At 49.4% G+C, this 15,813-nt stretch overlaps 2 annotated features.

Annotated features, from left to right (window-relative positions):
• Positions 9,008 to 9,509: an enhancer, noted in NCBI's record as "H3K4me1 hESC enhancer chrY:644837-645338 (GRCh37/hg19 assembly coordinates)". NCBI's record gives its function as "activates a minimal SCP1, AML or CMV promoter by ChIP-STARR-seq in naive H9 embryonic stem cells {active_cell/tissue: H9 hESC(naive)}" and the evidence as "EXISTENCE:reporter gene assay evidence [ECO:0000049][PMID:30033119]".
• Positions 14,441 to 14,941: an enhancer, noted in NCBI's record as "H3K4me1 hESC enhancer chrY:639405-639905 (GRCh37/hg19 assembly coordinates)". NCBI's record gives its function as "activates a minimal SCP1, AML or CMV promoter by ChIP-STARR-seq in naive H9 embryonic stem cells {active_cell/tissue: H9 hESC(naive)}" and the evidence as "EXISTENCE:reporter gene assay evidence [ECO:0000049][PMID:30033119]".

Below are 15,813 nucleotides of genomic sequence, written 5' to 3'. Positions count from 1 at the left end.
AGTCTGAGTGTGAAGTCCTGAGATCCAGGAGAGCTGAGGGTGTGAGTTCTAGTCTGAGTGTGAAGTCCTGAGACCCAGGAGAGCTGAGGGTGTGAGTTCCAGTGTGAGTCTGAAGTCCAGAGACCCAGGAGAGCTGAGGGTGTGAGTTCCAGTGTGAGTCTGAAGTCCAGAGACCCAGGAGAGCTGAGGGTGTGAGTTCTAGTCTGAGTCTGAAGGTCTGAGACCTAGGAGAACTGAGGGTGTGAGTTCCAGTGTGAGTCAGAAGTCCTGAGACCCAGGAGAGCTGAGGGTGTGAGTTCCGGTCTGAGTCTGAAGGCCTGAGATCCAGGAGAGCTGAGGGTGTGAGTTCCAGTATGAGTCTGAAGTCCTGAGACCCAGGAAAGCCAAGGGTCCCTAGTTTCAGACTGAGTCTGAAGTCCTGAGACCCAGGAGAGCTGAGGGTGTGAGTTCCAGTCTGAGTGTGAAGTCCTGAGATCCAGGAGAGCTGAGGGTGTGAGTTCTAGTCTGAGTGTGAAGTCCTGAGACCCAGGAGAGCTGAGGGTGTGAGTTCCAGTGTGAGTCTGAAGTCCAGAGACCCAGGAGAGCTGAGGGTGTGAGTTCCAGTGTAAGTCAGAAGTCCTGAGACCCAGGAGAGCTGAGGGTGTGAGTTTCAGTCTGAGTCTGAAGGCCTGAGACCCAGGAGAGCTGAGGGTGTGAGTTCTAGTCTGAGTCTGAAGGTCTGAGACGTAGGAGAACTGAGGGTGTGAGTTCCAGTGTGAGTCAGAAGTCCTGAGACCCAGGAGAGCTGAGGGTGTGAGTTCCAGTATGAGTCTGAAGTCCTGAGACCCAGGAAAGCCAAGGGTCCCTAGTTTCAGACTGAGTCTGAAGTCCTGAGACCCAGGAGAGCTGAGGGTGTGAGTTCCAGTCTGAGTGTGAAGTCCTGAGATCCAGGAGAGCTGAGGGTGTGAGTTCTAGTCTGAGTGTGAAGTCCTGAGACCTAGGAGAACTGACGGTGTGAGTTTTCGTGTGAGTCTGAAGGCCCGAGACCTGGAAGAGCTGAGAGTGTGAGTTCTAGTCTGAGTCTGAATGCCTGAGACCCAGGAGAGCCGAGGGTGTGAGTTCTAGTCTGAGTCTGAAGGTCTGAGACGTAGGAGAACTGAGGGTGTGAGTTCCAGTGTGAGTCAGAAGTCCTGAGACCCAGGAGAGCTAAGGGTGTGAGTTTCAGTCTGAGTCTGAAGGCCTGAGACCCAGGAGAGCCGAGGGTGTGAGTTCTAGTCTGAGTCTGAAGGTCTGAGACCTAGGAGAGCTGAGGGTGTGAGTTCTAGTCTGAGTCTGAAGGTCTGAGACCTAGGAGAACTGAGGGTGTGAGTTCCAGTGTGAGTCAGAAGTCCTGAGACCCAGGAGAGCTGAGGGTGTGAGTTCCGGTCTGAGTCTGAAGGCCTGAGATCCAGGAGAGCTGAGGGTGTGAGTTCCAGTCTGAGTCTGAAGTCCTGAGACCCAGGAGAGCCAAGGGTCCCTAGTTTCAGACAGAGTCTGAAGTCCTGAGACCCAGGAGAGCTGAGGGTGTGAGTTCCAGTCTGAGTCTGAAGATCTGAGACCTAGGAGAGCTGAGGGTGTGAGTTCCAGTGTGAGTCAGAAGTCCTGAGACCCAGGAGAGCTAAGGGTGTGAGTTTCAGTCTGAGTCTGAAGGCCTGAGACCCAGGAGAGCCGAGGGTGTGAGTTCTAGTCTGAGTCTGAAGGTCTGAGACCCAGGAGAGCCAAGGGTCCCTAGTTCCAGTCTGAGTGTGAAGGTCTGAGACCTAGGAGAACTGACGGTGTGAGTTCCCGTGTGAGTCTGAAGGCCCGAGACCTGGAAGAGCTGAGAGTGTGAGTTCTAGTCTGAGTCTGAATGCCTGAGGCCCAGGAGAGCCGAGGGTGTGAGTTCTAGTCTGAGTCTGAAGGTCTGAGACCTAGGAGAACTGAGGGTGTGAGTTCCAGTGTGAGTCTGAAGTCCAGAGACCCAGGAGAGCTGAGGGTGTGGGTTCTAGTCTGAGTGTGAAGTCCTGAGACCCAGGAGAGCTGAGGGTGTGAGTTCCAGTGTGAGTCTGAAGTCCAGAGACCCAGGAGAGCTGAGGGTGGGAGTTCTAGTCTGAGTTTGAAGGTCTGAAATGCAGTAGAGTTGATAGCGTGAAGACCCTAACTTAGCTGAAGGCCTGAGACCCAGAAGAACCGAGGCTGTAAGAGCCAGTCTGAAGACAGATGATGGAATGAGATGTCCCAGCTCAAGTAGTGTTGCAGGAGAAATGGAGCAAATCCTGTTGCACACCCTCAACAGAAGGCCTATCCTTACCAGTTTTAAAGCGGATGATGTTTCTTTTCGTGAGCCCATGAACTCAAATGCTAGTCTCCTCTAGAAACATCCTCACAGATACATCCAGAAATCATGTTTAACGTGTTCATTGCAAGACCTGATCAGACTGACTTATAAAATTCACCATTGTAGCATCCAAGCAATTGTCAGGGATGGCTGCAATGTGCTTCTTCCGGGTGCAGCATTCTTTTTTCATTTTTTTTTTTTTTTGAGACAAAGTCTTGCTCTGTCACCAGGGCTGGTGTGCAGTGACACAATCTTGGCACACTACAACCTCTGCCTCCGTGGTTCAAGCAATTCTCCTGCCTCAGCCTCCTGAGTAGCTGGGATTGCAGGTGCCTGCCACCACTCCCAACTAATTTTTTTATTATTATTATTTTTAGTAGAGATGGGGTTTCACTATATTGGTCAGGCTGGTCTCGAACTCCTGACCTCAGGTGATCTGCCCACCTTGGCCTCCCAAAGTGCTGGGATGACAGGCATGAGCCACCGTGCCCAGCCAGGACTGATTCCTTATATGTAACTGTACATTTTTTTTTTTTTTTGAGACGAAGTCTTGCTCTGTCACCAGGGCTGGTGTGCAGTGGCACTATCTCGGCTCACTGCAAACTCAGCCTCCCTGGTTCAAGCGATTCTCCTGCCTCAGCCTCCCAAGTAGCTGGGATTGCAGGTGCCCGCCACCATGCCCAACCATTTTTTAAAATTATTATTTTTAGTAGAGGTGGGATTTCACCATATTGGTCAGGCTGTTCTAGAACTCCTGACCTCAGGTGATCCGCCTGCCTTGGCCTCCCAAAGTGCTAGGATGACAGGTGTGAGCCACCACGCCTGGCTGGGTACAACGTTCCATCTTCCCCCTTCCTGCAGCTCTTCCCTGAGAACAGACACCTCTGGGTTTGATTTCTTGTTAAAACCCATTGGGATTAAGTCAACAGCATTTCACTTAATCCAATCTTCCTCCCTACCACGTACCCCAGGCGTGGAGCCCTCAGCCATCACCTCCAAGTGCCTTAGGCATCCCCATATATGTTTCTGTGGCCCCCACATTGTGTCCTGGTTTTCTAACCATCACCCCGTCATTCATTTCCCAAGCCAGGCTCTGGGCACAGAAAAACACCTCGGCGAGGATTAACAAGGAAACGGTTTTATGACGAGTCTTGGCGACTTCAGGGCTGAGGTGGGAAGAGGTGGGGGTGAGCTCTAAATTAAACCTACAGGGTTTGCTTTCTTTTTCTTTATTAGTGTGCACCCAATAGACTCTTTATTTTGCAAAATATATTGATTGTACCTTGACTCTTGGATAATGGGCTTCTCCAGTCTGTTACACGGATTAAATCAAGAGCAGTCAATGGTGCCCCTGGTAGTGACGAAGAATGCCTAACGTGTAGACAGATCGGCCACCCGTCCCTCCACGTCTGCTCTGACTTGAACTTCAGATTCATTTGCTTCAGGACAGCGAATCTTGCATTTACTTCAAGCCACACAGGAAGGCGACCCAGTCAGCAGAGTGGCCCCGGGATGCATGTTTGGAATGGAGTCCAATTCCATGGGAAAAATCCTGGGTTTGGCTCCTGGAGGCCTCCACACACTGCAGCTGCTGGTGCTAGTCAGTGGCTTCTAAGGAACCAGGTCCCACAGCAAGAGGTGAGCGGTGGGCAAGCAAGCAAAACTTCATCTGTGTTCACAGCCACTCCCCATCTCTCCCATTACGGCTTGAGCCCCACCTCCTGTTAGATCAGCAGCAGACGCATTTGATGCTCATAGGAGCACAAACCCTACTGTGAACCGTGCATGTGAGGGATCTAGATTTCACTGCATGCTCCTTATGAATGCCAGATTCCCCGTGGCTGGTGGCCTCCCGTAAGCCCATCGTGCCCCTGAATCTCCTTCTGCCTTTATTACGCTATGGTGTTTGCTGGGCAAACATGGACAGAGTATGCCAGGGGCCCCCGGATTCCCATGACAAAGTGTGACAGTCTCAGAGGTGGCCTTTGAGAGGGACGAGGGGTCTGACTCAGTGGGGAGGGGTCTCTCAATGGGAAGTCTCTCTGGGGAGGGTCCTTCGTGACTCTGGACAGTAAATATGAGATTCCTGGGCTGACCATGAGAGGAGCAGGTGAAGCACCTGTTCACGAATACACACGCAATACCGAGAGGCACTGATACACTCTCAATGCCACAATGCACACAATGCCACAATGCATTGATATACATTAAATGCTACAATTCACTGATATGCACTGAATTCCACAGTGCACTCATATGCACTCAATGCCACAATGCACTGATACACCCTCAATGCCACAATGCACTGATATGCACTCAACGTTTCAATGCACTGATACATGCTGAATGTCACAATGCACTGATACACACTCTATGCCACAATGCACTCATATGCACTCAATGCCACAATTCACTGATATAGATTAAATGCCACAATTCACTGATATGCACTGAATTCCACAATGCACTGATACGCACTCAATGCCACCGTGCACTTGTACACACTCAATACACACTAAGTGCCACAATGCACTGATATGCACTCAATATTATGATGCACTGATACATGCTGAATGCCACAATGCACTGATACACACTCAATGCCACAATGCACTGATACGCACTCAACATTACGATGCACTGATACGTGCTGAATGCCACCATGCACTGATAGGCAGTCAACGCTGCAATGCACTCATAGGCGCTCAATGCCACAATGCCCTGATATACATCAAATGCCATGATTCTCTGATACACACTCAATGCCACAATGTACTTGTATGCACTCAATGCCACAATTCAGTGACATAGATTAAATGCTATGATTTACTAATGTGCACTGAATTCCATGATGCTCTCATATGCACTCAATGCCACAATGCATTTGTACACACTCAATACACACTCAATGCCACAATGCACTCAATGCTACAATGCACCAATATATATTAAATGCCACAATGCACTGATATACATTAAATGCCACAAGGCACTGATATGCACTTAATGCTTCTAGGCATTCATATGCACTCAATGCCACAAGGCACTTGTACACACTCAATATACACTAAGTGCCACAATGCGCTGATACACGCTGAATGCCACAATGCACTGATATGCACTCAATCCCACAATGCACTGATACACAATCCCACAATGCACTCATATGCACTCAATCCCACAATGCACTGAAAGACACTCAATCCCACAATGCACTGATATATACTCAATCACATAATGCACTGACAGACACTCAATCCCACAATGCACTCATATGCACTCAATGCCACAATGCACTGATACGCACTCAATCACATAATGCACTGATACACACTCAATCCCACAATGCACTCATATGCACTCAATCCCATAATGCACTGATACACACTCAATCCCACAATGCACTCAAACACACTCAATCCCACAATGCACTCATATGCACTCAATCCCACAATGCACTAATACACACTCAATCCCACAATGCACTCACATGCACTCAATCCCACAATGCACTGAAAGACACTCAATCCCACAATGCACTGATATATACTCAATCACATAATGCACTGATAGACACTCAATCCCACAATGCACTCATATGCACTCAATCCCACAATGCACTAATACACACTCAATCCCACAATGCACTCACATGCACTCAATCCCACAATGCACTGAAAGACACTCAATCCCACAATGCACTGATATATACTCAATCACATAATGCACTGATAGACACTCAATCCCACAATGCACTCATATGCACTCAATGCCACAATGCACTGATACGCACTCAATCGCACAATGCACTGATACACACTCAATCCCACAATGCACTCATATGCACTCAATCCCATAATGCACTGATACACACTCAATCCCACAATGCACTGATATATAGTCAATCCCACAATGCACTCATACGCACTCAATCCCACAATGCACTCAATCCCACAATGCACTGATACACACTCAATCCCACAATGCACTGATACACCATCCCACAATGCACTCATATGCCCTCAATCCCAGAATGCACTGATACACATGCAATCCCACAATGCACTGATACACACTCAATCCCACAATGCACTCATACACACTCAATCCCACAATGCACTCATATGCACTCAATGCCACAATGCACTGATACACACTCAATCCCATAATGCGCTGATACACACTCAATCCCACAATGCACTGATATATAGTCAATCCCACAATGCACTCATACGCACTTAATCCCACAATGCACTCAATCCCACAATGCACTGATACACACTCAATCCCACAATGCACTGATACACACTCAATCTCATAATGAACTGATACACACTCAATCCCACAATGCACTTATATGCAATCAATACCATGATACACTTGTACACACTCAATACACTCTAAATGCCTCAACGCACGGATATACCATCAATGCCACTACACACTGATACACACCGAACGCCACAATCCCCTGATACTCATTGAATGCCACGAACAGGGCCATGGGGGGCACGTCCACAAATCAAGACCTTCAGAAACTGAAGTTGTGTGATCAAGTGCCATGGAGAAAACCCCCAAGGGAACTGCCTCTTGAGAAAGGTGAAGGAGGAGTCTCCAAGCAAAGGCTGGAATGCTGGTGGGTGGCCAGGGGAGGTCTGTGGGAACTGCATCATCCCAGCAGTCGGCTTGGACATCACCAGGACCTGGGGGTGAGGGTGAGTTTGAGGTGCTCAGAGCAGCAGAAACTCCAGGGAGGGAGAGTGGGGATGAGGAGATGGGGGCAGGAGGAGAGGAGAAGGTCTCAAAGAGTCAGGAATTTTCGGGGTCTTTTGGACAAGGTTGGTCTCAGGTCTTAGCCCAGGTGTCACGGACGGGTGTTGTAGGAATTACTGAGCAAGGGCCGGGGCTGAAGTCCAGCAACCAGATGTCCACAAGGATGTGAGTGGCTGGAGGAGGGGCTCTGTGTGGGACGTCGGAAGGGACTCAGGGGCCAAGGAGGGGGTTGGTATGACATTCAAATGGTGTTAAAAGCTGGTGGCAGAGACCTGTTTGAAGGCCTTCCCTTCTAATTGGGGGTTGCGGAAATGTTGGTTGAAGGACACAGAGCGTCAATTTGTCAGGAGGAAAAAGTTCAAGAGCTCCAATATATGGCATGGTGACTGGTAACATTGTATCCATTTACAGTGCAACAAGATAACATTGTTGATAATAATATACGTATTGTTGACTTAAAAATGGCTGAGTTGATGTTACTCTTTCTCACCACAAATCAATAGTAAGTCTCAGAGATAGGGCATTGGCTAATCAGCTTAATGCCACGAATTCTACAGTGTCAAAACCTCATGGCACACAACCTAAATATGTACAACTTTCAGTTGTCAGTTAAAACGTTAATGAGGCTGGGTGTCGTGGCTCACACCTGTAATCCCAGCGCTAGCATTTTGAGAGGCCAAGGTGGGAGGATCGGTTGAGGCCAAGAGTCGGAGACCAGCCTGGGCAACAAAGGGAGATCCTGTCTCCACAAAAGAATTTCAAAATTAACCAGGGGTGCTGGTGCATGCTTGTAATCCCAAGTTCTCGGGAGGCTGACGTGGGAGGATCATCGGAGTCCAGGAATTGGAGACCAGACTAGGGCACCAATTGAAACTGTGTCTCTACAAAAAAAACAAAAATTAAAATTAGCCAGGTGTGGTGGTGCATGGCTGTAGTTCCAGCTACTGAGGAGGCTGAGATGGGAGGATCGCTTGAGTCTAGGAGCTCAAGATCAGCTTGAGAAACACAGTGAGACCTCATCTCTGCTAAATGAATAAACAAACAAACAAACTAGCCAGGTGCAGTGGTGCACACCTGTAGTCCCAGCTACTCTGGAAGCTGAGGTGGAAAGATCACATGAGCCTGGGAGGTTGAGGCTGCAGTGAGCTGAGATTGCATCACTGCACTCCAACCTGGGCAACAGAGCAAGGACCCTGTCTCTTAAAATGCAATGCAATGAAGCCTGTAATCCCAGCACTTTGGGAGGCCGAGGTGGGTGGATCACGAGGTCAGGAGTTAGAGACCATCCTGGTCAACATGGTGAAACCCCATCTCTACTAAAAATACAAAAAATTAGCTGGGCGTGGTGGCAGGCACCTGTAGTCCCAGCTACTCGGGAGGCTGAGGCAGGAGAATGGAGTGAACCCAGGAGGCGGAGGTTGCAGGGAGCTGAGATTGCACCATTGCACTCCAGCCTGGGCGACAGAGCGAGACTCCATCTCAAAAAACAAAAGCAAAAACAAAAATGCAATGCAATGAAGTTTTATTTAAAAATAAATAGAAAAAGAAAATTAAAAGCCTCTCTTGAAGATCCCGAAGACCAGAAGCTAACGCCAGGCTGTGAAAACAGTGTCCCACAACACTCGTTTTATCTACACCAAAATAAGCTATGTAGGAAGAATCTGCAGGTCTTATTCCCCTCCCCAAGATACTCTGTAGATGCCCCAAAATGCTTCCCACCCGGGGCAGCTCCCCCACGAGCCGCCGCAGCCTCCAAGAAAGAAGTTTCTTCTCCACCTGCACCTGCGGATTCTCATCCCCCAGGTCCCCGTATCTCTGGCCGGTGCTGGCCGTGCTAGACACTTTCCGCAGCCCTGCAAAGCAAAACCTCAGGCAGATGCAAAACCATCATTAGGATGGCAGAGTCGTCCTCACGCAGAGTGAGCAGACCAGGGCGAGATCAAAGGCAGAGTCTCCGGTGGCGGCCTCGGGGGTCCTGGCCATGCCATCAGGAGGGCCCCCCCACTCTCTCTGGGGACCCTGCTGTGATCAGAGATTGAGCTCATGGGGGCCGGGCCGCTCTGTGACCGTCCCAGCCCCCGTTCAGGCTTTTGGGAGCATCTAGGAACTGCCTGCTTGCTGTTCATTGCAGTTAATTTTTTTTTTCCGCTTCCAATGCAGGCTGGTCCTTGCCTCTCTCTAATAGATCTAATTATCAGAAAATGCACTTTGCAATCAGTCCCACACAACACCGGCCTTCTCTTGCAGTATGCCAGCCAGCTGTTTTGAAAAGTACAGCTCAAATCTCTTTGCTGCCACATGTTGAAGCAGATGAAAGTAATTTTCTGCTCAACTGTCTATAAGTAATTAGGCTGCCATGTAAAAGGGGGTCTTTATGCATCCGTTTGGAATGAGGTACCCTCTGTGCATACGGAGTAATTATCAGCCATCCTCTTCCACAGTAAGGTACATCTTATGCATTTTACATGAGCGCCGGTTATTAACATAACCTGACGATCAAAAGCCCTCTGGATCGGCTGTCTTCCTTTTCATGTAACGGGCTGAAATTCCCCAGAAATATAATAATTTGAAAACGGGGCAATGGTGATTTGTTTCAGCTGTAATTTGTTAAGTTTTTTTTTTTCCTCCTCTTTGTTATTTGCCTAGTATAGACCAAGGGCTGCTGGGGGCTCCCATACACACAAACAAGTGTTCTGCCTGCCCGGCGAGGTGGGTTTTAATATGCAGAAGGGGTCTCGGGGCTGCAGACGCACAGATCGAATGCCTTCATCTTATTAATTAGGAGGTCAGGAGAAGAGTTGCATTTGGCTAAGTGAGTCCTGTGCAGAGAAGGACCATGGTTCCAAAAAACAGTTTGTAGACACCCCAACGAGACACAAACTATGTTTGTGCTTTTCAGATCATCCGAGTGGTGGGCGAAGAGGTTTGTGTGGAACCTTAGGACACCATCTTTATGTCATCTAATGCATCAGACAAACAGTGCTGGGAATTCCATGCCCATTGGCCGTTCTGTGCCAGCACGATGCCTGGACAGGTGGCACTCTGCGGGTGACAAGAAAATATAAGGTTAAGAGAAGTTTAATGTCCGGGCGTGGTGGCTCACGCCTGTAATCCCAGTACTTTGGGGTGCCAAAGTGGGTGGATGACTTGAGGTTCGGAGTTCGAGACCAGGCTGGCCAACATGGTGAAACCCTGTCTCTACTATAAATACAAAAATTAGCCGGGCTTGGTGGCGGGTGCCTGTAGTCTCAGCTACTCAGGAGGCTGAGGCTGGAGAATCGCTTGTCTATTTGGACGCCTGAGAAGACATTTATTGAAAATAATATTTTGAATGTATATCTGAGATGTTATTCATAGTTCTTTTTATTATTATTATTATTACTATTTATGGAGGTGGGGTCTCACTATGTTGCCCAGGCTGGACTGCAGGGGCACGATCTCAACTCACTGCAACCTCTGCCTCCTGGGCTCAAGCGACCCTCCCACCTCAGCCTCCCAAGTAGGTGGGATTACAGGCACACACCACCACACCTGGTGAATTTTTGTCCTTTTTGTAGAGACACGGTCTCACCAGGTGGCCTAGGCTGGTCTCAAAGCCCTGGGCTCCAGCGATCCTCCCACCTGAGCCTCCCAAAGTGCTGGAATTGCAGGCAGGAGCCACTGTGCCTGGCATTTCCCAGGTTCTTTTTTTTTTTTTCTTTTTTTTTGAGACAGAGTCTTGCCCTGTTGCCCAGGCTAGAGTGCAGTGGCACAATCTTGGCTCACTGCAACTTCCGTCTCCCAGATTCAAATGATTCTCCTGCCTCAGCTTCCCACGTAGCTGGGATTACAGGTGTCTGCCACCACACCCAGCTAAATTTTGTATTTTTAGTAGAGACGGGGTTTCACCATGTTGGTCAGGCTGGTCTTGAACTCTTGACCTCGTAATCCTCCCGCTTCGGCCTCTCAAAGGGCTGGGATTACAGGTGTGAGCCACTGTGCCCAGCCTGCTCCAGGTTCTTAAAGGCCAAATGGCCACTCCAACTAGTCAAGCATAAACTGCCAGGGAGATTGGAATTTTCTAAAGAGTCCCTGCAATTTTTTTTGGAAAAAGCATCACAAGGAAAACTTGGCCAGAGGGATTTTTTTGGATATGAAGACGATGCCAAGGAAAGATAAGGCTAAGATAAGTTTAATGGCCGGGCACAGTGGCTCACACCTGTAATCCCAGTACTTTGGGACTCCGAAGTGGGTGGATGCCTTGAGGTTAGGAGTTCGAGACCAGCCTGGCCAACATGGTGAAACCCCGTCTCTACTATAAATACAAAAATTAGCCAAGCATGGTGGCGGGCACCTGTAGTCCCAGCTACTTGGAGGCTGAGGCAGGAGAATCGCTTGAACCCAGGAGGTGGAGGTTGCAGTGAGCCGAGATCACAGCACTGCACTCCAGCATGGGTGACAGAGCGAAACTCTATCTCAAAATAAAAAAGTCCGTCTTTATCTGCAATTCTCTTTGTAAATTATTTTACCCCTGCTTACCTGAGACAATATCTATAAACACAGAAAGTAGATTCGAGGTCACCAGGGGTTCAGAAGTGGAAATGGGGGTGACTGTTTAATGGGGTTCAGGGTTGCCTTTTGGGGTGACGAGAATGTTCTCGGACCAGAGAGAGGTGACAATTCTATAACATTGTGAATGTACTATCGGCTCCTGAACTGGACGCTGTAAATTGGTTACTTGTATGGTATGTAAATTTCACTACCATAAAATCAAACTAAAATTCTGCCCAGTGAATAATATATATTTAGCCCTTACCTTATACCATGAAGAGGCGATGGGTACAATTCAAAAACAGCCGTCGTTGGAAGCAAAGTCCAGTTTAGAGCGGGAGTTTTTCTCCACCCCTCTGCATTCATTCGACAGAAAAATGCTCAAGTCCCAGGAGGGGTCAGGCACAGCTCCAGGGCAGCATTCTAGAAGGGACACCCCCTAAGGTCTCCGTGAGAGAGATGGGAGGTTCCAGAAAAGACTGAACAGGCACAAAGAAGCAACCTTCGAAAAAGGGAGCAGAGACTGGGCGCAGTGGCTCACACCTGTCATCCCAGCACATTGGGAGGCCGAGGCGTGTGGATCACAAGGTCAGGAGTTTGAGACCAGCCTGGCCAACATGGTGAAACCCCGTCTCTACTAAAAATACAAAAATTACCTGGGCGTGGTGGCACACACCTCGTGTAATCCCAGCTACTCAGGAGGCTGAGGCAGGAAAATCGCTTGAACCCGGGAGGCGGAGGTTGCAGTGAGCCGAGATCGCACCCCTGCACTCCAGCCTGGACGACAGAGAAAGACCCCATTGAAAGAAAGAAAAAGAAAGAAAGAAAGAAAGAAAGAAAGAAAGAAAGAAAGAAAGAAAGAAAGAAAGAAAGGAAGGAAGGAAGGAAGGAAGGAAGGAAGGAAGGAAGGAAGGAAGGGAGGGAAAGCTGAAAGAAAGAAAGAAAGAAAGAGACAGAAAGAAGGAAAGAAAGAAAGAAGAAAGAAAGAAAGAAAGAAAGAAAGAAAGAAAGAAAGGAAGGAAGAAAGACAAAGAAAGAAGGAAAGAAAGGAAGGAAAGAAAGGAAAGAAAGGAAAGAAAGGAAGAAAGGAAGAAAGAAAGAAAGACAAAGAAAGAAACAAAGAAAGAAAGAAAGGAAGGAAGGAAGGGAAAGGAAAGATGAAAGAAAGAAAGAAGAAAGAAAGAAAGAGAAAGAAAGAAAGAAAGAAAGGAAGGAAGAAAGAAAGGAAGAAAGAAAGAAAGACAAAGAAGGAAAGAAAGAAAGGAAGGAAAGAAAGGAAAGAAAGGAAGAAAGGAAGAAAGAAAGACAAAGAAAGAAAGAAGGAAAGAAAGAAAGGAAGGAAAGGAAAGAAAGAAAGGAAGAAAGGAAGAAAGGAAGAAAGAAAGACAAAGAAAGAAAGAAAGAAAAAGAAAGGAAAGAAAGAAAGGAAAGAAAGGAAGAAAGGAAGAAAGAAAGACAAAGAAAGAAAGAAAGAAAAAGGAAGGAAAGAAAGGAAAGAAAGGAAGAAAGGAAGAAAGACAAAGAAAGAAACAAAGAAAGAAAGAAAGAAGGAAAGAAAGAAAGGAAGGAAAGAAAGGAAAGAAAGAAAGGAAAGAAAGGAAGAAAGAAAGACAAAGAAAGAAAGAAAGAAAGAAAAAGAAAAAGAAAGAGAGAAAGAATAAAAGGGTAGCAGAGACTGCTGCAGCTCCTAGGCGTTACAGCTGACGGCAGCTGGACAGATTTAGCTGGACACAAAAATCCCGGGAAAAACGCCACAACACTCTGGCCCTGACTTCTGACCTGGGCGTTGGCGGGGCTCAGCCCGTCTGTTGTGAGTTCTGCAGGACCCCATGTCTCACGTGTATTAAATGCCCAGCTGACCTCTGACTGGGGCGTTAGCAGGGTCTGGTCCCATCTGGGATGAGTATTGAATGTTCACGTCCACTGTGTGTACCTGACCTGTGCCCAGGATGTTAGCAGTGCCTGGACATGTCTGTGGTGAGTTTTGCAGGGAACCCGCATTCCCTGTGCATTAAATGCCGCCGTCTGCCGTCTATACCTCAGCTAAACTGGCCTGGGTGTTAGCAAGGACCAGGACTGTCTGTGGTCAGTTCTGCAGGGAGCCCACATCCCCTGTTCCCATCTTCTGTGTGCACCTGATACTCACCAGGGTGTTAGCAGGGCCTGGTCCCATCTGTACCTGACCCAGTCTGACCTGGGCGTTAGCAGGACCTGGGCTTGTCTGTGGTGAGCTCTGCTGGGAGCCATCGTCCCCTGTGCATTGAATACCGGCGTCCACTGAATGCACCTGACCTGTGAGTGGGATGTTAGCAGGGCCTGGACCTGTCTGTGGTGAGGTTTGCATGGAGTCACGTCCCCTGTGCATTGAATACCGGCGTCCACTCTCTGCACCTGACCTGCGACCGGGGCGTTAGCAGGGCCTGGACCTGTCTGTGGTGAGGTTTGCAGGAAGACACGTCCCCTGTGCATTGAATACCGACGTCCACTGTCTGCACCTGACCTGCGACCGGGGCGTTAGCAGGACCTGGACCTGTCTGTGGTGAGGTTTGCATGGAGTCACATCCCCTGTGCATTGAATACCAGCGTCCACTGTCTGCACCTGACCTGTGACTGGGATGTTAGCAGGGCCTGGGCCTGTCTGTGGTGAGGTTTGCATGAAGTCATGTCCCCTGTGCATTGAATACCGGCGTCCACTCTCTGCACCTGACCTGCGACTGGGGCGTTAGCAGGGCCTGGACCTGTCTGTGGTGAGGTTTGCATGGAGTCACGTCCCCTGTGCATTGAATACCAGCGTCCACTGTCTGCACCTGACCTGTGACCGGAGCGTTAGCAGGGCCTGGGCCTGTCTGGGGTCAGTTCTGCTGGGAGCCCACATCCCCCCTGCATTAAATACCAGTGTCCACTGTCTGCACCTGACCTGTGACCGGGGCATTAGCAGGGCCTGGGCCTGTCTGGAGTCAGTTCTGCAGGGAGCACATGTCCCCTGTGCATTGAATACCAGTATCCACTGTCTACACCTGACCTGTGACCGGGGCGTTAGCAGGGCCTGGGCCCGTCTGTGGTGAGGTTTGCATGGAGTCACGTCCCCTGTGCATTGAATACCGGCGTCTACTGTCTGCACCTGACCTGTGACCGGGGCGTTAGCAGGGCCTGGGCCTGTCTGTGGTGAGCTCTGCTGGGAGCCCACATCCCCTGTGCATTGAATACCAGCGTCCACTGTCTGCACCTGACCTGTGACCGGAGCGTTAGCAGGGCCTGGGCCTGTCTGGGGTCAGTTCTGCTGGGAGCCCACATCCCCCCTGCATTAAATACCAGTGTCCACTGTCTGCACCTGACCTGTGACCGGGGCATTAGCAGGGCCTGGGCCTGTCTGGAGTCAGTTCTGCAGGGAGCACATGTCCCCTGTGCATTGAATACCAGTATCCACTGTCTACACCTGACCTGTGACCGGGGCGTTAGCAGGGCCTGGGCCCATCTGTGGTGAGGTTTGCAGGGAGACACGTCCCCTGTGCATTGAATACCGGCGTCCACTGTCTGCACTGGACCTGTGACTGGGGTGTTAGCAGGGCCTGGGCCTGTCTGTGGTCAGCTCTGCTGGGAGCCCACGTTCCCTGTGTGTTGAAGGTTTTCATCCTCTATCTGTACCTGACACTCACCAGGGCGTTAGCAAAGCTGGGCTCATCTTTTTGCGGGTGCGTTTGATCTTCCTTAGTGAACGCTCACGTCTCCTCTTCTGAAGCTTGCCTGAGATTACGTCGGTCGTGGTCATCATCCATAGAACCTCCTCCTGGTCCCTCCTGCTTTTCTCATAGAACAAAGTAGGGCTGCCCCACAAATCTAAATAAATAAAAGAGAAAGGAACTCAGAAGACAATCTCTCCAGGGCTCCCTCTACCTGCAGGACGGGGTGATGCCGAAAACGTGTCTTCCCGCGAATTTGCAGCGTCCAGCTCAGCCCAGGGGCAGCGCAAGAGGGAGGGGCCCACATCACCCTGGACTGTGTCCATCATCTCCCTTGGCTGCTGGCCAGGCTCAGAACAACAAGGAGAGCTGGCCTTGGCTCTCTCGTTGCCTCTTTTATATGGGACCAGGCCCTGCCTTCCAGGTGGTGTCCCCACTGTCCTCAATGCTCAGTCATCAGAAACACTGCAACCTTGGGGAACTCAAAAGGAAAGG

The sequence above is a fragment of the Homo sapiens genome, chromosome X (genome assembly GCF_000001405.40).
Source record: "Homo sapiens chromosome X, GRCh38.p14 Primary Assembly".
Lineage (NCBI taxonomy): Eukaryota > Metazoa > Chordata > Mammalia > Primates > Hominidae > Homo > Homo sapiens.
The sequence above is the reverse complement of the archived record's forward strand: the minus strand, read 5'-3'. Positions and strand labels throughout refer to the sequence as shown.